The 23991-nt window shown below is 35.3% G+C and overlaps 1 protein-coding gene across 11 annotated transcripts in view; it reads left to right on the plus strand.

Annotated features, from left to right (window-relative positions):
* Positions 1-23991, plus strand: part of LRRK2 (leucine rich repeat kinase 2) — a 144289-nt gene that overhangs the window by 86691 nt on the left and 33607 nt on the right. For 8 of the 11 annotated variants that reach the window (XR_007063041.1, NM_198578.4, XM_005268629.5 and 5 more), the window contains 9 exons: positions 2285-2486; positions 3525-3613; positions 8301-8488; positions 9347-9501; positions 10348-10494; positions 10632-10823; positions 11473-11619; positions 16673-16773; positions 23280-23470. Coding sequence is in view for 10 of the 11 variants with exons in the window: in NM_198578.4 (NP_940980.4) it covers positions 2285-2486; positions 3525-3613; positions 8301-8488; positions 9347-9501; positions 10348-10494; positions 10632-10823; positions 11473-11619; positions 16673-16773; positions 23280-23470 (1412 nt within the window). In the remaining variant the exon portion in view is untranslated. The other 3 variants (XM_011537881.4, XM_047428279.1, XM_017018786.3) reach the window with 3 other exon arrangements.

Raw genomic sequence — 23991 nt, forward strand, 5'->3', positions numbered from 1 at the left:
TGTGCTTCACTCCAAAACCTAATGAGCCATTTGTAAAAGTGATGGCTTTTGCGGTGCCCAGGGAGAGAATTTGTATGTTTGTATCCTTCAACACACATTTATTACAGTTATTAAAAGGTTTTATTGATGATAGATGGTAATGTCATGTAAAAATGACATATTATTTATTTGTAGACTTTCCTATTCTCTTGTTGGACATGTAATTAGAAACTAATATGACTTAAAGAAAAACAAATACACAAAATTTATTCATCCAATTAATCTCTTAATCCAGGTGTTTTTTTTTTCTGAGACTATACCCATACTTCAATAACTTTGTTGTTACTGAGAATATTTTGAGTTTCCCTTTTTGTCATTGTTGTCAGAGAATGTATCATATCTTTAAAAAGACTTGTTGGAGGATGAGTTTGTTTTGAAAAGGCCTGAATTTAGTTGATGCAAAGTCACAGATAAGATGGTTCATTAAGCTGTATTAATACTGCTTTTGTCTAATAGATATCATTACCAATAAGTCAGACTAGTTTTTCTTTTGGCACTTATAAATCACCTTTGAAGACAACTTTTTACAAGGAAATAAAACAAATGCTTTGAGAAATACCAGTATTATTGAAAGAAAAGTATATATTGCTAATGGATGCAGCATTCTGGCATAATGGTTTGAAAACTCATTTGATTGCTTTGTAGAAGAATGACTCTTTCAGATGACCCAGGGCCTGTGAGCCTGCCAGAACTTGAAAATTCTTTCTTCCCTGAGGTGCTTCAACCTGAATTCAAAGAGCAGCTTTTAATCTATTAGAGATCATTTTTTGTCCTCTCATTTATTTTTCATATTTGCCTTTGATCTTAGCTCTTCTCTAATCTTTTTCTGTCTCAACCTTATTAACAGGTGTCTGTGCAGACACTTTTAAGTTTTGTTTTTTGGCTCAGCCTGTCAGTTAACTGATAATCATGCTGAAAGGAGAAGCAGGACAAAACAGAGTTCAATGCTGACAATACTCCTTTTAATCTTGTCCAGCCCATTAGCAGAGCAGGCATCTCTGTGGGCCTTGAGACGTAGTCCCGTAAAACTCATCCCGTTTCTACTTGATTTGCTTTCTTTGAGAACTCTTGTTTATTTTTATATGGAGGTTTCCTGCCTTGGATTAAAACATAAACCTCAATCTGAAGTTCAATTTCATCTTAATTTATGAACGACTAAGAGAGGGAACATGAAAAGTGGAGGTTAGTGAAATTATCTCTAATTCTCTGGGTTAAGAGATACATGAAAACAGTCTCTTGAGTAACCATTTGCAGGTAAATATGGAAGTAATGGTTATGGTTGTCTCTTTAAGTTTTTAGTCACAAGTAGAAAAAGACCAAGTTAATTTTTTTCTGTGTGTGCTGAATTTCTATTTGTAGTAAGTGTAAGAATTTAAGCAGAAATTCTGATTCGTATTTTCAGATAAAAAGAATATGTAATTTCCATAGGTCCAGAAATAGGGAGAGTTTGCCATCTGGTGGTTCTTAACGGCACTCTGGATATTATTAAGAGTTGCATTTCTATTTAAAATTATATTTTAAAAAACGTTTGGAAGATACTTTTATTGTAGAAACTATCCTCTTAGGGCCATTCTTTAAAAAAATCTTATTTTATATATTTCTCATTTTGTTGATAGTGATTAGATTCTAAGAGCAACAGAACAATGATCATCCTCTCCTATCAGAATCACTGATGTTTAGATGATTTCTCATTTTCCCAAGTTCAAGGTTCCATGAAAAACATAGCTTGAGTGGGATTTTATGTCTCTGCGTTTCACTGTTGATATATATGTCCTCCCAATATAACATTTTACAAATAACCAAGCACAAAATTTAATATTTTACCTTGAATATTTAAAATATAATAATATCCAAAAGCTCTTGTAATTTGTACTGATATCTTATACTAGCGTGTCTGTTTCACATTAAGTTTAATGTCTTAGGATATAAAAAATCTTTTTTATGGTTAGTGATTTATCTTGTTTTTTTTTCCATGGAATTTCTGGATAGCGAGATAAATATTTCCATACTATTTTATTTGATATTTCCAAATTTGCCTCTGAATCAACAATTTTCCTATTTTAATTTCATTGTACTTGTTCCTTACAACCTAAATAGCTTTTTATTATATTTTGATTTTATTTAAAAATGTACTTCTGAATAATATATCTGTTTCTGTAAAAACTGTTAGCACTGAATTTGCCAACCATTTGACAAATACACAAATAAAATAGATTTTTACGGCTTGTCATTTGTAATTTCATAGATCCGAGATCAGCTTGTTGTTGGACAGCTGATTCCAGACTGCTATGTAGAACTTGAAAAAATCATTTTATCGGAGCGTAAAAATGTGCCAATTGAATTTCCCGTAATTGACCGGAAACGATTATTACAACTAGTGAGAGAAAATCAGCTGCAGTTAGATGAAAATGAGCTTCCTCACGCAGTTCACTTTCTAAATGAATCAGGTTTGTGTTTTTCGTTCCTTATTTTCAAAGCTCAGCTGTAGTAACTTATAAAAGTGTTTCTGAATCTTTTATAGAATTTACATTCAAAGTTGAGAGAATATCCATACGGTTCTTTAATAGGCCACTGATTTTTTTCTTTTTGGAAGATCATCATGTGTGTTCATGACAAATCATGTATCATGTCATAAGAAAACAAATTTAGAAATCACCTAGGAGTAAAGCAGTGGAAAGAGTCCCTGAGTGGGAGTTAAAATATTTGGGTTCTAGAACTTGTCTTTACTATTCAGGAGCTGTGGAACCCTGAATAGTCAAATGACATTCATAATGTCAAATGAGTTTAGTGCATGTGAAAGTTATTTTTATATTGCAAAGGGGAATTATTGTTGGCATGGTCTAACTGGGACGCTTGGAGAGTCAATGGCTCCCTGAGATGATGCAGCTTCTGAGTGGAAGATCTAGCTCTCTTGCATCAAATATTGATCTCAAAGATGAAAATTCTCAAAGCAACTTCAGTGCTAATTGTGTACTTGATCATATTACCTTGCTAGAAATGTGTGAGTTGTTTGATAGTACTAGAGTAAGTGACTGGGAAGCTGCTTTTGATCCCTAGATTCTGTTGTATAAAAAATAGCTTCCCGTGGTTTATGATCTGTTCCTTTTCCCCATCGTTCTTAAGGTATGCTGAGATATGCTGTGTTTCTTATCTGTATTTGAAAATAAAACATGTCTTTGTAGTGTGTATTCAGCAAGCGAAACAGAAAATTATGAATTTCTACTTATGTGTGAAATATGCTCTGTAATGCATGTCAGTGTCTCAAATATGCTTAAATATGATCATTTTATGTAGTTTAAAAATACTCCATTATAATATTGGAACTTTAGACCATAGGATGCACAGCTTCTAGTCCCAGCTCTGTCACTAGCTATGCTGAAATTTCTTCACCTGCAAAATGAGGAAGTTGGACTAGATTTTTTCTAAAGCCCCTTGATATTTGTTCTAGATTCCATGTTTCACTGTTTGATGACTTTTTACTACAGGAGTCCTTCTTCATTTTCAAGACCCAGCACTGCAGTTAAGTGACTTGTACTTTGTGGAACCCAAGTGGCTTTGTAAAATCATGGCACAGGTTGGTGTCTTTTATTTTTGTGGCACGGGGGTTATGGTCAAAGCATAGAACAGATGGCGCCCAGAGCATTGAGCATTTTAGAATTTGGGTTTAGTTAAGGCAGAAACTTTTGTGAATTTGGAAAACTGTGGAACATTTCACATAGAAGACTACTTGAAGAGCTTCATGGAAGAAGGAAAGATGTCTTGAGTTCACTTCCATGACTTGGTTTTCAAGCCACATACAGATGTTTGTATCACTCTGCCCCATGCTGCTTTACTAGATCCTGATGATGTCATTGGTTTGGTTACTGAATTAGTCAATTGAATGATGGCTTTGTGGAAATCCTTGGGGTAAACACATATAAGAAAATTAGGTTGCTGAGCCTGTGAAACCTCTATCTAGATAACATGGAGGTGAGTTTTGACTTAAGTGAAATGATCTGAGCTTTAAATGCTTACGATTTTGAAAACTTTGGATGGCCTTGGTTATAGCTATTTTTTTCTTATATTTCACATGGAAAATGATTTTTTTCTCCAAATGATAATCCATTACCAATGAGTTTAATTAGTTATAATAATCCATCTCTGTAGCTTTGACATAAAAGACCATTTGAGCAAAACATACTACCTCAGGGCTTTTCAACCCCAGCATGATGACATTTTGGGCCAGATAATTCTTTGTTGCACATTGTAGGATGTTAGCAGCATTTTTGGCCTTTATATTCGAGACGTAAGTAGTATCCTCTAGCTGTGACAAGCAAAAATGTATCCAGACATTGCTAAATATTGCTTGGAGAATGTGAAAAATTACCCTAGTTGAGAAACATTAAGCTACTGATTTGTTGATGAGTAAAATTTATAGTTTTGCATGTGGCTGCCCGAGTTCCTAAAATTATTATATATTTTTATGTTAGAAATATCTCTTCCAATTAAACCATAAAGGTAATTAAATTCACTCAGGCAGCCTTGAATAATTGTTCCTAAATTCCATCTAAGGAAAAAAAGGAAGCTATTGTGAAGAGAGAACTCAGTTGAGGCTAAATCCTGTACCATGGAACTCAAGAGCATATTGAAACATTGCAATCAGCAATTATTTGCAGTGTGTCAGTTATTACTATTTTGGTAGGTATTTTTAAATTAGATTTTCAGCCTTCTGCACATATGTCATGGATAATGTGATTTTACTCAATTATTAAATGATAATGGAGACAGTAGTGTGACCCAGAGCACTTACTTGAGCATCAGCTTGACCTACGTTTCAGTCTCTTTAATTACTTATTAGCTCTGTGAAATTTCTTAATGCATTAAGCCTTTGTTTACTTACTTTTTAAATAAGGAAAATAACAATTATCTTCTATATTGCCTCCCTGGTTCAGTGTAAGTGAGGGGTAAATGTTAGCTAATTTTATATTGGATCTATTTGGCAATTTAAAGAATGTTAATCAGGAAATTTTAAAAAATTCAGAACTATAAAGAGGTACTTACGTAGTTTTGGAAAGTGTGTCATGTATGGGGACAAATAAAAAAGATGTGTAGGTAGCTGCATCCTGTACAGCAAAGGAAGTTTTAAATATATCCAGCAATTTTGTTGTCCTAGCTGGCGCACAATAGTTATCAGGAGGTAACTCAACTCCACATAGTCAAGGAAAAGCTAAAGTTGCTCTCTAAAGTGGTGTGTTTCCATGTCACTATGGAACACTTGAAGTTGCACACATGTGAACATTAGGATGGGTATATCTTATACAGTAGAATAAGGAAGAGGTTTGCATCAGAACTCCCCTTTTAAAAAAATGCAGATTTTCACTATGACTGCAATAAAATTCCTGAAGATTCTGTGGAGTAATTAAGTTGAAACTCCATGAAAGTTCTTCTCATTAGCATAGTTATAAATATGATAATTTAAGTAAAAATTAAGTTAATTTGAGCCACTCAAAGTTACTTTTAAAGACAGATTTAAAATGTCAATAAAATGATAATTTAAATTTCCGATTAACCTAAAAAAGAAGTGCCATCATTTTTATTTATGCCAATAAATTGAAATATAATGTCATTTTATCACTAAGGTTTAAAGGAAATGAAATCTCTAAATAATCAAGTGAAACCAAGAGCAACTTGTCTGACAGCTATTAGCAAAAATAAATAGGAGTATTCACCTTCATGAATCAAGGCAAGGGCCGGAATAATTTCATGGTGCAGAAGCTCTAATGAGCCCACCCACTCTATGCGCCCCGAGCTGTTAGGTCACTAAACTTATTAAAAAAAGGTACCATTAAGGCAGGGAGAAGTTTACAAGACTCATTTAACTGTATGATAAAAGAGATATGAAAGAGACCTATTCAATTAATCAGGTGGAACATTAAAAAGCTTACATGGCAATTTAACCTTGATAAAAATACATGGGAGAAATACAAAGGAATTTGGAAAATTCTCTTTCCTTGAATAAGGCATCAGTTAGCTATTCAGGTTATGAGGTTGAAGGAATGTTAGGAGCTCTTTTAAAGGTGATAAAGTCAAGATAATGTTGCAGATTTTATTCTTATGTAACAAACCCCCTCGAAACTTGGAGGCTTAAAATGTGAACAATTTATCATTTCTCGTTCTTCTGTGGCTTGACTGGGCTCAGCTGCGTGGTTCTGCTCCACATGGTATTGGCAAGGGTTATTCACTTGGCTTCATTCATTAAACTGAGCTGGAAAGTGCAAGAAAGGTACATGCATGTTTTTGGAGTATTGGTGCTTCTCCATGTGGCCTATCATATGGCTAAGTTGGGCTTCCTCGTGGCACGGTGATCACAGAATAATTAGACATCTTTCATGGTGGCTGGTTACCAAGAGAAATGAAGCAGATTTTTTCTGTCCTCTTAAAGGCTAGGCCAAGGACTGGCAAAAATATTAATTCTGCTACATTCTAGTAACCAGAGCAACCACAAACCTAGCTCAGATTAAAGGGGAAGGAAAAGAGACTCTATATGAATAGCACCTATGTATAGGGATGGAAATGATGTGTCCATCTTTGGAAACTTCCACTATAAATAGTGGTAGCACGCTATAGATCCACTAGGAAAATCAAGCACAAACTCTTTAAAAAATAAGTGTATCTTAGTAAAATAGATTAGAATAACTAGATAATAATGGCTAACATACATGAGGTTAATATGTGCTTTTCAAAGATTAGCTCATGTAATTCTCACAGCAACCTTTCCAAATGGTACTTTATTAGCCCCTATGATACAGATGAAGAAATTGATTGACAGAGAGGTTGAATAATTTATCCAACGGTACACATTCAGGAAGAGGTAGAGTTAGAATTTCAAACCAAGTAGTTTGACTCCAGGGCCTATGAGTTTATACATTCATAGGGCTGATATTCAAATGAGAGAAGAGAAGTAATAAATAAACATATAATATGTTGAGTGGTACAGAGTGCTACAAAGAAAATATGAAGTGCAGTTGGAGATGAATTGTCAAAAAAGGTCTTAGCACTTAAAAAACACTAAAACAGCAAACAATTCTCTTTACCACCTAAACTGTAAGAGCGATCTGGAATTGCTATAAAGTACACAACATGGGAGAAGTCTTAAACAACAGTTTTTATTATTTATAGGCCCATTGCACACTGTCATTAAATACCAATATGTTCAATCAACCATGCATTCATTGATTCAATAAATACTGTACATACAAAATAGAAATACAGAAATGGGTAAGACAAGTCCTTGGGCCTAAGGACTTTATAACCTGGTATTTCACTCAACTACATGATAGCATAAATAATGTTTGCTTCTGTTTAAGTATTCCTTAAACATTATAGATCTCCCAAAGAAAATTAAATACAAACCTCTTTTTAAAGTGAATTTGACAAAGCAAAATAAATTGGAATATATAGATAAATATGCTAAAATTTGTCATATGTACTTTGCGTACTTTACATGTGTTATTTCATTCTCAGGGCAATCTAAGACAGTCACTTTTATTATCTCATTTTATAGAGAAGAAAGCTGTGCAGTAAAGAAATCAAATACCTTTCCCAAGGTTACAGAGCTAGTAGTAGAGCCTGGATTTGAATCTGGGTTCTGACTGATTTTTAACTGCCATGACAAGGATCAAAGCTCAAAGTGTGATCTCTGTGTTAGAAACATCGGGGTTGCTCTTTAAAAAAGCCGATTCTCAGGCCTCAACCCAGACCTACTGACCCAGACACTGCAAGTAGAATCCATCAAAATGCAGTAGTTACTTTGAGAATCATGAAACTCTGCTACACAGTCTGTCTTCCTATTCATGGAAGTCCTCTCCTAGTATATAAATGTGAAGTAATATTTCTATTTCAAACCTGTATTGATAACTGTCTGGAAGATAATTTTCCTGGGAATATATTATTGATGAGACTGCAAAACAGATGTGAGGTATTGGATTGATCTTTCCATTGTAGCTAGGGAAATACTGATGTTCATTGTTTCAGTGAAGTTCAATGATTTCCTATCCGAATTAACTCCCTTAATTTAACAATTTTTTTTTTTTTTTTGAGAGTGAATGCCCCTCTGGGCTTCTAGGCCACATGGTTGCTAGAGAAATTAGGTACTGTGTTGCACTTGAAAACACTAAAATCTTTCTGACTACTTTCACTGAGCAAAGAGACATAAAATGCTTTAAATTTGCAACATTTCAGAAAATAAATTTTAGTGATTATTTATGACTCGAATCTTTCAGATTTTGACAGTGAAAGTGGAAGGTTGTCCAAAACACCCTAAGGGCATTATTTCGCGTAGAGATGTGGAAAAATTTCTTTCAAAAAAAAGGAAATTTCCAAAGAACTACATGTCACAGTATTTTAAGCTCCTAGAAAAATTCCAGATTGCTTTGCCAATAGGAGAAGAATATTTGCTGGTTCCAAGCAGGTAAAGAAAACCTTAAAAAATTAATTGCTACATGGAAATTCACTATCTATTCTTTTAATTGTCAAACTAACTGTAGTCTATAATAGATGTATTAAATAAATAAATATATTTTGCTTCTAGTGTAAACCTCCTACTGACATGTATCATTTATTTTGGAATAAAACATTGCATCTGACACTTTAACAATATAGTAAATCACTTACTTTATGTGTATAGTTACTAGTTGGCTTATCACTGTTGAAATTATTTAAGAAAGGTAAATAGTGGAGATTAATGTGTGTGTGTGTCTGTGTTTGTGTATGTGTGTGTTCTTAAACAACACTGAGAGAGTTTATTAAGCAAGTTCTGAGAAGATAGTGAGTTTTCAACAGAATTTTAAAAGCATTTATGGCATCACAATGGATGCCTATGTTTTAGCCTATACTATGGAAATTTTTCCTACTGCTCTAAGCAACTGGGAAATTTATAAAGTAATATGATGTTGAAATGTGCAAATTACATTGATTGATGGATGCAGCCAATTTTAAAAATAAATATACACTTTTTTTCTAGGACATGTATTTTTCAGGATTTATATAAGATTACATTTGTCTATGCATAACTAATTGTAATAATTTATGTATTAGTGCACAGGGATTACCGAAAATATTTCATGCATCTACATCTGAGCATGCATTTGAATTGGTTATTGACCACTGAATTTTTGGTGTAGGAAAAATATGTAGTGAAACAATGTTACAAAAAGATTACAATTGTTTGGAATGATTACCTTCATTGACTTTAAGCAGTAAAATCATTTGCTCAACAAGGTTGGGTGTTTTGTGAGGCTGTATAACCATAGTGTCCTTTTGCCTTTAGTTTGTCTGACCACAGGCCTGTGATAGAGCTTCCCCATTGTGAGAACTCTGAAATTATCATCCGACTATATGAAATGCCTTATTTTCCAATGGGATTTTGGTCAAGATTAATCAATCGATTACTTGAGATTTCACCTTACATGCTTTCAGGGAGAGGTAAGTATCTAATGAAGACTTATTAGATTTTTAGAGACTATTAATTTAGACTTATTAATTTTTAGAGAAATTAGGGAGATGGCATATGAAAAGTAATATGCCATTTTCTCAGAGTTTACTTGTTTGGAAGGCAGCTGAAGAATTAGAAAATAAGCTCATAAAACCTTGGAGTAGGCAATCTAAAGACACACAAGCACATATAACCTCATCTAATTTGTCAGGAAGAAAATTCCTTAGGTGCTCACTCAGATCTTGACTGTGATTACATTGTAGGGACTGTAATTATCTCTTTTCTGTTGCACAGCCACTAAGACATTTACAAAAAAAGAGCAAATCCGGTGTTTATAATGCTAACTCTTTCTTCTAAAATAAATAGAGACATTTTGGTACTCCAAAGGGAAAATATCATTTTGGGGATTAAAATTAGCTTTACACAGGTGTTACTGGTTTCCAAAATAAACCTTACCTTGATTGGAATTAATCAACATATAGGTAGTTACATTGCATTAAAAAGTTCAGAAAGTTTTGCGTTTAGCATGATCAAAAACTTCTTTTTAAAAATTATGAGGATTTATTTATGATTTTCTTTCTTCATCTGTCGAGCATATTAAACTGCTTAACAGCATCAACCTGAAATGGATCTTAATGTGCAGGGGATTTAACTCTTTTTATTGTAAAGTTGTGGATAAAATATTTAATAGATATGGATGAGGACTCATATCAGTAACAACCCAATACTTTATTTCAAAATGAATAGATCTGTATTACAATCACTTGTGTTGTGTGCAGTAGATTTTTTCCCTTTAACTTAGGAAGCAGTTAATAATTAATGGCTCCATTTTTTAGAACGAGCACTTCGCCCAAACAGAATGTATTGGCGACAAGGCATTTACTTAAATTGGTCTCCTGAAGCTTATTGTCTGGTAGGATCTGAAGTCTTAGACAATCATCCAGAGAGTTTCTTAAAAATTACAGTTCCTTCTTGTAGAAAAGGTAAGGAAATCAATTTGAATGTTTTCAATTGCAACACTAAAGAAATTTAAACTTAAAAAAAAAAAAAACTTTACCTTAAAGCTTTGCGACAGTATGAGGTTTAGACAAGGTGTTGAGCTCTGTTTTGAATCATGTAGGCTGTATTCTTTTGGGCCAAGTTGTGGACCACATTGATTCTCTCATGGAAGAATGGTTTCCTGGGTTGCTGGAGATTGATATTTGTGGTGAAGGAGAAACTCTGTTGAAGAAATGGGCATTATATAGTTTTAATGATGGTGAAGAACATCAAAAAATCTTACTTGATGACTTGATGAAGAAAGCAGAGGAAGGTATGTTTTGATACAACTTACAAATGCTTTTAAGTGATCCTTCAATACTTATGAAGTGACTTTTAATAAATGTAAATATTCTTATCCATAAGGGATGAGTTGAAAAATAGTATATTCAATTATAGGGACAGTTCAGAAAACTGAATTATATTTATTACCAATAAAATCTTGTATTCTAGATTCAGAAAATGTTGATTTGAGGGTTTGAATGCTGGCTTATTGAGCAACATAACCTCATCTGTGAAACCGGAATACCAACCACATCTATCTCATAGAACTGTTATAAAGATTCAAATAGACAATACATGGACCTAATTTACCAACATGTCTGCCATATAATAACAGCTGCAGCTTCATGAATGTGGCAAAAGCAGAGAGTAGATAACTTTCTAGTCAGATGTCTGGTAGTCTGCAGCAGTTCAGAATTCTACAAGTGAACGTAGGAATAAGTTTTTAAAATTCCAAGTAGATAGATACTAAGTGAATCTTTAAAATGTTCTCAAATTTCCTAGAGAAATATAGGATTGGTTAGAAAGGGAGGGATTAGAAATTATAGAAAATATTCCATTATTTTTTCACATCAAAACCACAAATTTATGTATCTCCTTAAATGTTGTTTTTATTTAAAAAATGTTTTATTACTTCTCAGGAGATCTCTTAGTAAATCCAGATCAACCAAGGCTCACCATTCCAATATCTCAGATTGCCCCTGACTTGATTTTGGCTGACCTGCCTAGAAATATTATGTTGAATAATGATGAGTTGGAATTTGAACAAGCTCCAGAGTTTCTCCTAGGTAATTCTTTTTGTTAATTTGAGAATAAAAATTAGGATGTAATTTTCTCCTTATAATTTAGAAAATAGATTTCATAATTATATTGTCATAGATTTTACTGTCTTCATATATTTGTTATAATTTTTGTATTTGGAATGATATATTTTAAAGGAATATAATATTACAGATCTGGAATTTGTTTTGCACATAATCATGTAGACTAGGATCAAGATGAGGATGAGATTATCATGGAAGCAGAAATATTTATGAAATATATCTTTGTATTTGCCTTAATTGCCAGGGATATGGGAGGCAAATAAGACAGTTTTCAGGTGAGTTAAGTGAAGCAGCCATATTTTATAAAATGACAGAATAGGTAAAGGAAGCACACCTCAGTGTAGCCATAGCAGGGGTTTTATGACTCAGTGTGACAATGCTGAATTCTCATAGAAATATTCATTAAAAGCCTTGAAATTAAAGTCAAAAGTGTTACATGGTGACATACTCAAATACTTTTTTTTTTTTTTTTGATATGCTGAACAATTTACATTTCTTGGTTCCGTGAATTCAATCAGTGATTTTCAGTAGAGTATGATGGAAATCATTGAATTCATGTAGCATGTTTAGGTGCTCATTGAGAAAAGGTGAAGTCATGGTAACCATGTTTCAATATTCTCATTTGTATCTTGACTTCCTGCACATGGATTTTTGGGCCTAAAAGATGTTTTTAAAACATGCTCATACACTTCAGAAGATGAAAAGTGTATGCATTATAACTACTTTGGGAAAGAAACAGTCAACATATGTTACTGTATGTCATTCTGTAGATTACATGTGTGGTTTCTCATGTCTCTCAGAATAAAAGCTAATGTCTTTACAAGACCTGCGATGCTGTGATCTGTCTGGCTCCTCGGTTATCATTTTTAAAAAAAGATATACTTTGTACAAATTTTTTTAATTGACAAGTAAAAATTGTATATATTTATGGTGTACAACATGATGTTTTGATATATGTATATGTTGTGGAATGGAGAAGTTTAGCTATTTAACATATACATTATCTCAAATATTTATGTGGTGAGAACTATTAAAATCTACTCTCATAGCAATTTACAAGTATACAGTATGTTATTATTAACTGTAGGCTGACATACTCAAGTTTTAAACATTCCTGAGAGTCATTGGGACAACTATGAAATGCATTAGATTGATTTAATATAAAGCATTTGAAGACAATTTTGACCTTACTTTGTTTAGTTTTTGTTGTTGTTGTGTGTATACATTTAATTTTAATCAAATTACCCCAGAAATAATGCCTAAGATCTGTCAGTCAGGACATAATATTATTAGCAAAAAGTTGTCCAAAATTTGAGACATGATATTTAAAGCTAAATAAACTCCTTTATACCCCTCTTATTGGCATTGATTGGGAAGTTTAGGTTGAATTTAAATGCTTTGGAACTCAGGAAGTTAATGTATTAGTAATAGTGGGTTAACATAAAATGCTGAATTGTCCTTGCTGAATCCTACATCTTAACCCCAGACTTCAAGGTATACAGGAAAGTACCAGACATGGTGCATCCTTCCTCTGAAGAAATCCCAAACTGTCAGACACAGATCCCTAAAATATTTCTTTTTCCTGCATTAAAATGTGTTTCAGATGAATGGACACGTTTTGAGTAGTGTATGTGGAAACGTCATTTACAAAGTCTGTTTAGTTGGCCAGGTGTAGTAGCTCACTCCTGTAATCCCAGCACTTTGGGAGGCCGAGGTGGGTGTATCACGAGGTCAGGAGTTGAAGACCAGCCTGACCAAGATGGTGAAACCTCATCTCTACTAAAAATACAAAAAAATTAACTGGGTGTGGTGGTGGGCATCTGTAATCTCAGCTACTCGGGAGGCTGAGGCAGAGAATTGCTTGAACCTGGGAGGCGGAGGTTGCAGTGAGCCGAGGTTGTGCCACTGCACTCCAGCCTAGGCGACAGAGCGTCTCAAAACAAAACAAAACAAAAAACAAAAAAGCAAAGTCTGTTTAGCTACCCATATAGGAAAATGTTTGTGATTACTCTCCCTTCTCTAGACCCATGTCCCATAAATCCATAAATCCCATGTTCATTTACAGAAAGCAGTCTAGATAGGAGTTTCTCAGTCTTTGAGCTGTTGCCATTTTGGCTTGGATAACTAACTCTTTCTTATCGAGGGTCATCCTGTGCACTGCAGAATGTTTGGCAGCATCTCTGTCTATCCACTAGATGTCAGTAGTATCTCCCCTTCCCTCAGATGTGACAATCAAAAATGTCTCCGGATGTTGCCAAAGATAAGGGGTGGGGTTGAATACCAGTGATTTAAACAAATTAGGTGTATCCTTCTAAAAACATTTTACAGGTAGCGACTCCAGCATCTTTATATTAGAGTAATCTGGAGAAGGTTATGCCTCTCTCAATTTTCCCTCTTTCCATTTTTATTTGTAGGGCAGCAATGCATTCAGGCTTTTGGTAACTCTTTTTCCCAAGATAGCAGTAACTATTATGCAGTGAGTAATACGACCCACCTTAATAGATATGAATAGACTTGTTTTGTGAATATATTTTAAAATATAAATGTATGGGATTCTGTTCATGCGTCTGAGAAGCCACAGGGTACATTTCCTCTTTGTGGAGCTATTTATTTTTCTGGAGAGCCAAGACAGGTATTTCCACTTCAGTGGTGTGATTTGAGGGGTTAGGAAAATTTCCTTGCCTTCAATTTTCTTTCCAACCTAGATGTCACAAATACATAATAGTAGTCCTTAACTTTATTTTTGTTTTCAGTCACCTGAAAGACATGACAATCCATACTCCATATTAATGCAGCGGCGATTCTCAAATAGAGAAGGGCTTTAAAAAATTAGAAATCTCTGCCGGGCGCAGTGGCTCATGCCTGTAATCTCAACACTTTGGGAGGCCGAGATGGGCGGATCATGAGGTCAGGAGATCGAGACCATCCTGGCTAACACGGTGAAACCCCATCTCTACTAAAAATACAAAAAATTAGCCAGGCGTGGTGGTGTGGGCGGCTGTAGTCCCAGCTACTCGGGAGGCTGAGTCAGGAAAATGGCATGAACCTGGGAGGCGGAGCTTGCAGTGAGCCGAGATCGCGCCACTGCACTCCAGCCCGGGCGACAGAGCGAGACTCTGTCTCAAAAAAAAAAAGAAAAAAAAAAAGAAAAAAAAAACAACTAGAAGTCCCTACTCCAACTTGAAATTTGGATGTATCTCCCTAGAGTATGTTTCTTCTCTATGCTGCATTGCAATTTTTCTTTGTTGTTGATAGTTGTCCAGATTGAGGGGAGGCAGAACAAGATGCATCTATATGTTTCCATCTCTCCGACCGATTCTCTCCCTTCCCCCTCTACTTGCTTTCTTTCTCTTTTCCCTCTTCTGTTTACCCGATTCTATTTCTGATTCCAGTATGTAACAGTTCCCTCTGAAGCTCTCTCAATACCAACAATCCTAACTAATGGTTTTTAAAAGTCAAATATTAAGTACTGGAGGGATAGAATGAGAGAATACCAAGACTGATAAGATGCAAATAATACTTTTAACATATTTACAATCTAATAGAAATACAAGACATGCTCAAATAAGTTAATTATTTTAATATACTCTCTCTGAGCATAAAATATAATTATATATGCTCATTATAGACATATAAAAAATAAATAGGTAGAGGCTTTCCATAGATGTGTAATTTCACCACTTGAAAATTACTATATTTCCTTATAGACTGTTTTGTGTGTATTCACTTATATCCATCAAGTGACTACATTTCAAGGCACTATATGAGAACCATAAATATTGTACAAACAGGATTTGCTAAATGTCGGTGGAGAGTAACAGTCCACGGGGCTGATCATGGTCAGTTTGTGAGGCAGGCCTCCAAACTCCTTGGGGATTGAGATGATGGAGTAGCAGAGCTCTTCAAGGGTATGGAGGCCTGAAGGTACAAAGCATGCTCAGGAAATTTTGGCTATTGCGGTTTGTCTAGAGCACTTGTTCTCAACCTTACCTGCTCATTACTAATTCTACTAAGTACAGAATTAAAAGAAGAAAAAAATCTAATGACCATTTCCTCCTGGGACTAATTAGATCAAAATCTTTGAACCCAGACATTAGCGTTTTAAAAAGCTCCTCAGATGTACTATTCAGCCAGGACTGGGGCAGGGAAAGCTACTGAACTCCAGCCTTGAGAATGAGAAGTAGAACAAGAGGAGAACTTTAAAAGGATTTAGGGGCCACTATATGACTATGGAGCTGAATTTAGATTTGATTTAGTAGGCAACGCGGAATAATTTGTTTCTGAACAGGAGAGTGACACAATCAAAGTGGAATGATAGGAAAATTAATTTTGCAAGAGAGAGAGAATGAGTTGGAAGTAAGGAACTCAGAAGGCCTCCTGGGACTCAGCAGAAAGCTCTGAGGCCACCAAATGGGTGTGGTGGTAGTGGAAATGGAGAAGAAGGGAATGTAAATGAGGCTACACAGTGGACTGCCACTGTTAGCCGTGGGGTTAGACCACAGCAAGAGTTAAAATAATTCTTCAATTTTAACTCCAGAAGGGCCTCAAAAAGACTTTTTGTCTTGTTATCATCAGCTATATGGAAGGTAGAATAAAAACTAGTTAGGAGAAAAGGTAATAAATGTGGCTTTTGATAGGCTGTGATTGAGTTGGAAGGGCATACCAGTGAAATCACCAACACAAAGTTGGAAGTGTAGGAAAGCACTTAGGAGGTGGCTATAAGTGAAAATGTGAAAATTCTCTACATTAAAGGGATAGATGAAGTCACAGAAGTGGATGACATAATTGAGCAGGGTATGTGTAGAGGGAAGACGGGAAGGTTAAGGACAAAATCTTTACATATATCTTTCTTGGAGTAGAAGGAAGAGGAAATGTTAAAGGAGATTTGATTCAATGAAACAAGTAGGTCAGGTTTCTATTCAAATTTACAACAGATATAATTACAACAGATATAATTTATTTAGTTTTTTTCGCTTGGACAGCTTAATTTAAGTGCTTTGTATTTTCTTTTCAAAAGGTGATGGCAGTTTTGGATCAGTTTACCGAGCAGCCTATGAAGGAGAAGAAGTGGCTGTGAAGATTTTTAATAAACATACATCACTCAGGCTGTTAAGACAAGTAAGAAATTCAATAATATAATTATATTAAATTGCACATTATTAATCTACTGGAACTCTTATTTTGCATACAGTTGTGAAAATGCAAAATAATGACCACATTTCTACTTAAGTTTAATTATGCAATCCTAGTTTGTCTTTTCGTTGTGGAGTAGAAAGTTTTGTGTTATTTCTCCTGTTGAGAAACAAAACACTGTATCTGAGAATCCTTATAATCGTGATACATAGTGTGTTGTAAAACTTTTTGTAAGACTCACTTACACTCCTCTTTTTACTTTAGAACCTTGCTGTTCAAAATGTGCTCCATGGACAAGCAGCCAGGCATTACCTAGGAGATTGTTAGAAATGTAGAAACTTGGGACTTTTCAGTGCCATATTATTGTTCCTGATACTCCACAGTAGTCAGACTCCTAGCTGCCTCCACCTGCTTCCAGACCTTGAAGCCTAGCAAGCTCCTGACTTCGCCTTCTGTTTTCTTCAGAGTATTTATCTTTTACTTTTCTGGTCTAGGGAGAGAATGATTTTTATTTTTATTGAACATGACTTCTGTGTGTTCAGGGTGAAAGAAGAAGTTTAATGCATGATCTCACATTGCTAATTTGATTGAAGGTTAGAAATCTTAAACTAAAACTCTCACTGATAAGCTTGCACCTCTCTTTTCTGGATTTATCCACTTTAATAAGAACTGCTATTGATTACTTGCTACAAAGATGGAGAAAGTTAGCATGCTTATCCTATTTCCTACTCCCTGTCCCTGTCCACTTCCTAAAACTTAAAATTGGTTGCATTAATTTTCCTGATATAGTAACAATTATAACTTGGAATGATTTTCAAAACTTTTGTTTTTTTAGTATACCAACTCTAGACAGCATGGACTGACTCCTTGCTATGTGAGATGAGGAAAATTAACGCTATTCTTTCTCCTTTTCCCATCACCTTCTCAAGTTCTTTAATTTATTCTATTATTTTTATGTAGTGAAAGTTTATAACATTTATATTCTGGTCTGTACTCATAATTAAATTGTTCACATTTTGTCTATAGTTTGGTTCTGAGAACAAAACCAATAAATGCCATTTATATATTTTTTTATTTGTACAGAACCAAAATATTTCTACTTCTAGATAAAGAAATGCAACCTTCTGTCACTAACTTCTTTTACTAATAGAATAGTAACATTCCAAATATCAAAGTCAAATGGATTCTCTATTGTTATGTATTTATCATCAATTTATAAAAATAAAGGCATATTTTAATTTGGTCACATTTTTACCCTGATTTAAAAAAAAATTTGTTTTTAGAGATGGAGTCTCATTAGGTTGACCAGGCTGGTCTGGAACTCCTGGCCTCAAGTGATCCTCTCACCTTAACCTTCTGAGTACCAGTGGTGATTTATTTTATGTAGCTTTTTGAGGTTTTCTGATTATATACATATATTTTTAAAAAACGTACTTCAGGAAAAGATATATATTTTCATCATGACTTCAAGTGTTTCTAAGTTCTTAATCATACAGTTTGTATAACAGAATCTACTTTCTTCTTGAAGACATTCCTCATTCAGCACATGACTTACTGCTCTAAACAGGAGAGATGGATTTCTAGGCTGCTTGTGCAGTGATTAATCTATGAGTTAGTTTCCTCGCCCTCTTTGATTACTCTCAATATTTCTTGGATTCCATCCATTCTCTTGGTTGGATTGTCCTTAGTTTTTGTTGAAGAATATCTTCGAGTAATTTTTTTAAGAAAAGGTGTTTGTGAGGTAAATGTTTTCAGTCCTTACATGTTAAAAATATCTTAGTTTTGCCCTCCCATGTGGTGGATATGTCATCACACTTTATTTTTTAGGAATCTAGGCTTGAAACAATTTTCTTCAAAATTTGAAGAAAATTCCATTGATTTTTAGTGCCCACTGTTGCTAATGAAAAGTCTGCAGTCAGTCAGATGTTTGCTCCTATCTAGGATACCTTTAATTTCATTTTGAAAACTGAAAATTTGACCTTTTGAATTTCATTTGTTTTCAGTGTTCTGAACCTTTACAAGTATGTGTTTGTGTGTAGGTTGTTTTTCATTCCATCTAATTCATTATTTTGTGAAAAATTGTCTTCTGTGTATTCTCTTCTATTATTTATTATTTCCTCCCTAACATTTATTAATCATTTTTATTGACAACTACTATGTACCAGGTTAGGTGATGGGACATATGATATATATATAGTAGTAAGCTAAACCCAGTCAAGGCTCTGCTTCTCTGGAGCCTATATCTAGTTACTTATGATTCATTATTGCTTATCATTGCTCCAAGAGTATATGTTAGATGACAAGCCTTTTGGGTCTATCATCCATGTTTGAGTTCCCTCTTCAAGTTTTATCTATAATTTGTGTTACTTACTTGACTGTCTCTTACAGGTTTCTAATATTTTTTAGAATTGCATCATCTATTATTTAGCTTTCTGGTGAATTTTGTTTTGATAATCATATTTTCCATTTCCAGCAATTCTTTCCATCCCCTCTGGTTGTTCCTTTGTAGCCATGTTTTTGGATAAAATGTCCATAGGTGTTTCTGTTCATGTCAATTAGAATTTTTTTTTGTATTACTTGCATTATTGCTTTTTTCTCTGAGGTTATTTGCTCTGTGGGTTCATCTTGATCTTTCTCTTTTATCTTGTCAGTTTTCCAAATTGAGTAGTTTTGGGTGACTTCGTATGAAGTAAGTACTCTATTGATTGTTAAAGAAGGACTGTATTGATTATTAAAGGTAACTAGAATGGGCATTCTTCACATTCATGTAGGTTTGCTTGTTCAAGTTACCACTTTCTGAACAAGAAGGTTAGACCATAGACTTTTAAGGGCTGCATACTGCAAAGGGATACTCTGTTCTTTAGGTTACATGGGCAGGGATCACTGCTGAGACCATACCTGCCAAAGGAAGGCAGGCTTTGCTCTCTAGATGCTGGACTTGAAATTGTTTCCCCTCTGCTTAGTGCTGCATTATTTTTTTTGCTTCTTAATCTGCTGCAGAGTATCTAGATCAGGGTGTCCAATCTTTTGGCTTCCCTGGGCCGTATTGGAAGAAGAATTGCCTTGGGCCATATATAAAATACACTAACACTAATGATAGCTGATGAGCTTAAAAAAATTACAAAAAAAAAATCTCATAATGTTTTAAGAAAGTTTATGAATTTGGGTTGGGCCACATTCAAAGCCATCCTGGGCCACATGCGACCTGTGGGCCACAAGTTGGACAAGCTTGTTCTAGATACTTCAGACTCTGTTCTACATCTCTTCATAGATCAATAACTTGCAGCAATGAGTTTATCAGATAAATTATGTTCACTTTTCATCCATAAAAAAAGTCATGGGAGGTACTCACCATAGGATTGGTTTAATCCAGTCACTCTGGCCAATTTTCTTTAAAATTCCTTTAACCTTGGTATATTGGTTTAATTCCTTCAGAATGGCTTTTCCCATTGTGATAAACTGGTTCCAGGCTTCACGAGTACTTATTCCAAGTACAGAAGGAAAGAGGGTACCTCTTTTGAGTACTTGTATTTCAAAGGAATCAAATGGCCTACATAATAACCCATTAAATAAATAGATGTCTCTCAGCCCCAGTGAGTCATCTGTGCTTTTCTCAACAAGCACTATGTTCAGGGCAATGCTTTGTGCTAATTGGCTTTAGGCCTTTGTTACCAAACTGATCACTGTGGCCCTGAGGGTGCTGTTACTTAGAATATTCCCACCTTTTCTGAGAGGCTGATGTTGGGGTCACTTCCCCCTGAACTAAAGTCCAGGGGCTGCATGGGTGAGGGTTGAGTAACTCAGTACTCTAAGGAGGAAAGGAAGGGGAATATACACTGTTAGTTAACAGTGGTTATTCCTGTATTCTCTCTTGTTTGGATTCTACTGGGGATTTCTTTCTTTTTTTGAGTCTTTATTGACATTAGGAATGAGAGATAGAAACAGGGTGAGAGAGGAAGTAAAATTAAATGTGAATTCTTCCATCTTATACCAGAACTCAACTGTATTTTTGGAATCTATATATCCTTACTTTTCCCTTGATTTATTACAAAAAATTCTTAGTGGCTACACTAAGTAAATTTTGTAACCTTTAAAAAATACATAGTTATAATATTTTAAGTACTCTGAGTAATAGAAGATTTCATGTGAGTACAAAATATCCTGGGGGCATTTTAATTATTAGTAACAACAGTCACACTGTAGTTCTAGAACCAAATTGAACATTTTATATATAGAAGCTTATCTGTGAATCAAATCTGACATAATCTCTTTTAATGTGTAGGTAATTTCTTATATAAATTGATTTTTTGGCCTTGCTGTCAGCATGCATTTCAAATTTTACACCATGTGTTTGGGGAGCTATGGTGGAAATTAGTACATTAAAAATGTCTACAGAGCCAATTAGTGTATAAGCAGGGAGGCAAACTAAGGGAATGGTGGAAGAAATTAAAAAAAAAGGGGTGTGCATAATGTGCTTCTTCTCTTAAAAAAAAAAAAAGAAAAAGACAACAACAAAAAGAAAGAAAAATGACATTTGACGGTCATTCTACCAGTAGTCATGGGGCAGATCTATATTATACTGTACTATTACGCTGTTTTTTCTTTGCAATTAGTGAGTTGCTTTTCCAGGATAGAAAATTTGGATTAGACCTCTGTCTGTGCCTATGAAAACAAGCAGAGCTAACTTAACTCCTTCTCATCAGTTCTAACCAACTGACATGGGCATTAAAAAAAAGATTTTATCTACTAAGCAAATATGATCACAGTCTGAAGCTTTGTTCTTGGAAAATCCCCTCTCAGGGTGTTCAGCCTTTCTTCTTCAGCTTGCAGAATTCTCCATGTTTCAGTTTCCTGATAAATCAGTGGGCGCCGCTACTCCACATCTTTGAAGCTGGTTGTTAAGAAGCAGTGCTTCTGCAGCAATCACAGTTTAAAGCATGAATCAATTTAACATCACACAAGCTATACATTTCAACAGAGTTACAGTTTCAGAGTAAAGTGCAATATACAGTATAAAGCGAATCTGGAATTCAAGCCCAACAATGTCATAAAAGAGGCTGTGAAGTCTCACATGATGTGGGCCACAGAGAGGGTTGTTGCCATTGGATCTTAGCTCAAATACTACCACATCTTCGGAGTGGCCTGCCATGGGCCACCCTTACTAAGGCAATCCCTCTGTCCAAGCCAAAATGATATCTCGGACTTTTTTTGAATTGCAGAGAGATTGTTGCAGCCAGGGATTGCCTTAGTAAGGGTGGCCCATGGCGGGCCTCTCTGAGGATGTGGTAATATTTGAGATAAGATCTGAATGGCAAGACTTCAGCCATGTGAAGGGTGGAGGGATTTCTAGGGAAAGGGGTCAGCACAGGCAAAGACCCTATGATGGGAAGAAGCTGGGCACAGCTTGGGATTGAATGAATGCCAATGTGGCTGAAGGGTGGTGATTGAAGAGGAGGGGGAGACGAGAAGGTCTGGAAGGCCTGGGGCATGATCAGATCAGGTGCTGAGGCCGTGGAAGTAGATGGGATTTTCATCTAAGGGAAATGGGAAGTCATTAGAGAGTTTTCAGGAGGGGATGATATGTATTTTTTTAAAATTGAGCATTATCCTCGGTAAACTTTTGTAGTCGTTAAACCAGAGATTATAAGCAGGTTTTACCTCATATGCCAGTTGCAGCTGATTAGTAGTGGCTATAGAGAATCCTGGGCTGAGAAGGATACTGTGGCTAACCAGAATTCAGTAGATGAGTTTGACGTGGCCTGTTAGTATGACTACACTGTGTGCACTGTTTCTGCATTAAATGTCTGATAAAAACAGAGCCAAAGGAAAAATAGAACTTAAAAATTTAATTCTGACAGTACAGTTGACCCTTGAAAAACATAAAGGTTGGGGTGCTGACCCCTTGTGCAGTCACAAATTTGCATATAACTTTTGACCTCCCCAAAAAACTGAACCACTGATAGCCCACTGTTGACTGGAAGCTTTACTGATAACATAAACACTTGATTAACACATGTTTTATATGTTATCTGTATTATATACTCCATTCTTACCATAAAGCAAGCTAGAGAAAAGAGTATTTTATTTAAAAAATCATAATGAAGAGAAATATATTTAATCTTCGTTAAGTAGAAGTGGATCATTATAAAGGTCTTCACCCTCATCATCTTCACATTGAGTGGGCTGAGGAGGGGGAGGTAGAGGAAAGGTTGGTCTTGCTGTCTCAAGAGTGGCAGAGGTGGAAGAAAATTTATGTATATGTGGACTCATGCACTTCAATCCCATGTTGTCCATAGGTCAACTGTAGTTTCAAAACCAGCTTTTTATTACTGAAAATACGGGAAAAAAAACTCAGAGAAGAAATGGAAAGTTTGCTATGATCCAGTCATACAGAGAAATCCATGTTCAGCCTGTTGATGCACTTTAAAGAAGGAGATACGTGGGTAAAACCTGATGTTGAATTACTCTTACATGATTTTGGACTTTTGCAGGAGCTTGTGGTGCTTTGCCACCTCCACCACCCCAGTTTGATATCTTTGCTGGCAGCTGGGATTCGTCCCCGGATGTTGGTGATGGAGTTAGCCTCCAAGGGTTCCTTGGATCGCCTGCTTCAGCAGGACAAAGCCAGCCTCACTAGAACCCTACAGCACAGGATTGCACTCCACGTAGCTGATGGTTTGAGGTAAGTAGGTCATGTTGTTTTCTATTCAGTGCATGACAAGTGTGATCCAGACTTGCTCTCAGGTTCTGAGAACACTTCCCAGTAACACTGTGCCCCAGTAACAATTTATAAACAATTTGGATGAAAACTACCATTTCCCTGATCAAATTTTGTAATTTCAGAAAATAAGAGTATGGAAACCATGCAGAACCTCATAGCAAGTAGTAATAGACTTTGAACCCACAAGTTCTGCTCTAGAACCCATCATCTTAACCCTGTACTGATCTGCCTTCTATAAAAATGTATAAGTTAGGCTTCACAGTATCAAAGTAAGTGTCAATTACATGATTCCAATGAGGAAAGATGAGTCCATACTTCTCAAGGGGACTAGAGTGATTCATGTTGGATTCTTCGGCATGACCATCTCACATGTCTCAGAGGCACACCTAACCCTGCATCCAGAGCAAGCTTTGGAGAGGGAGCACACTGGAGTGGAAAGGCTGTGGTCTTTGAAGACAAAAGGCCTGGGATTCATCACTATT

This window comes from Homo sapiens, chromosome 12, assembly GCF_000001405.40.
Source record: "Homo sapiens chromosome 12, GRCh38.p14 Primary Assembly".
Lineage (NCBI taxonomy): Eukaryota > Metazoa > Chordata > Mammalia > Primates > Hominidae > Homo > Homo sapiens.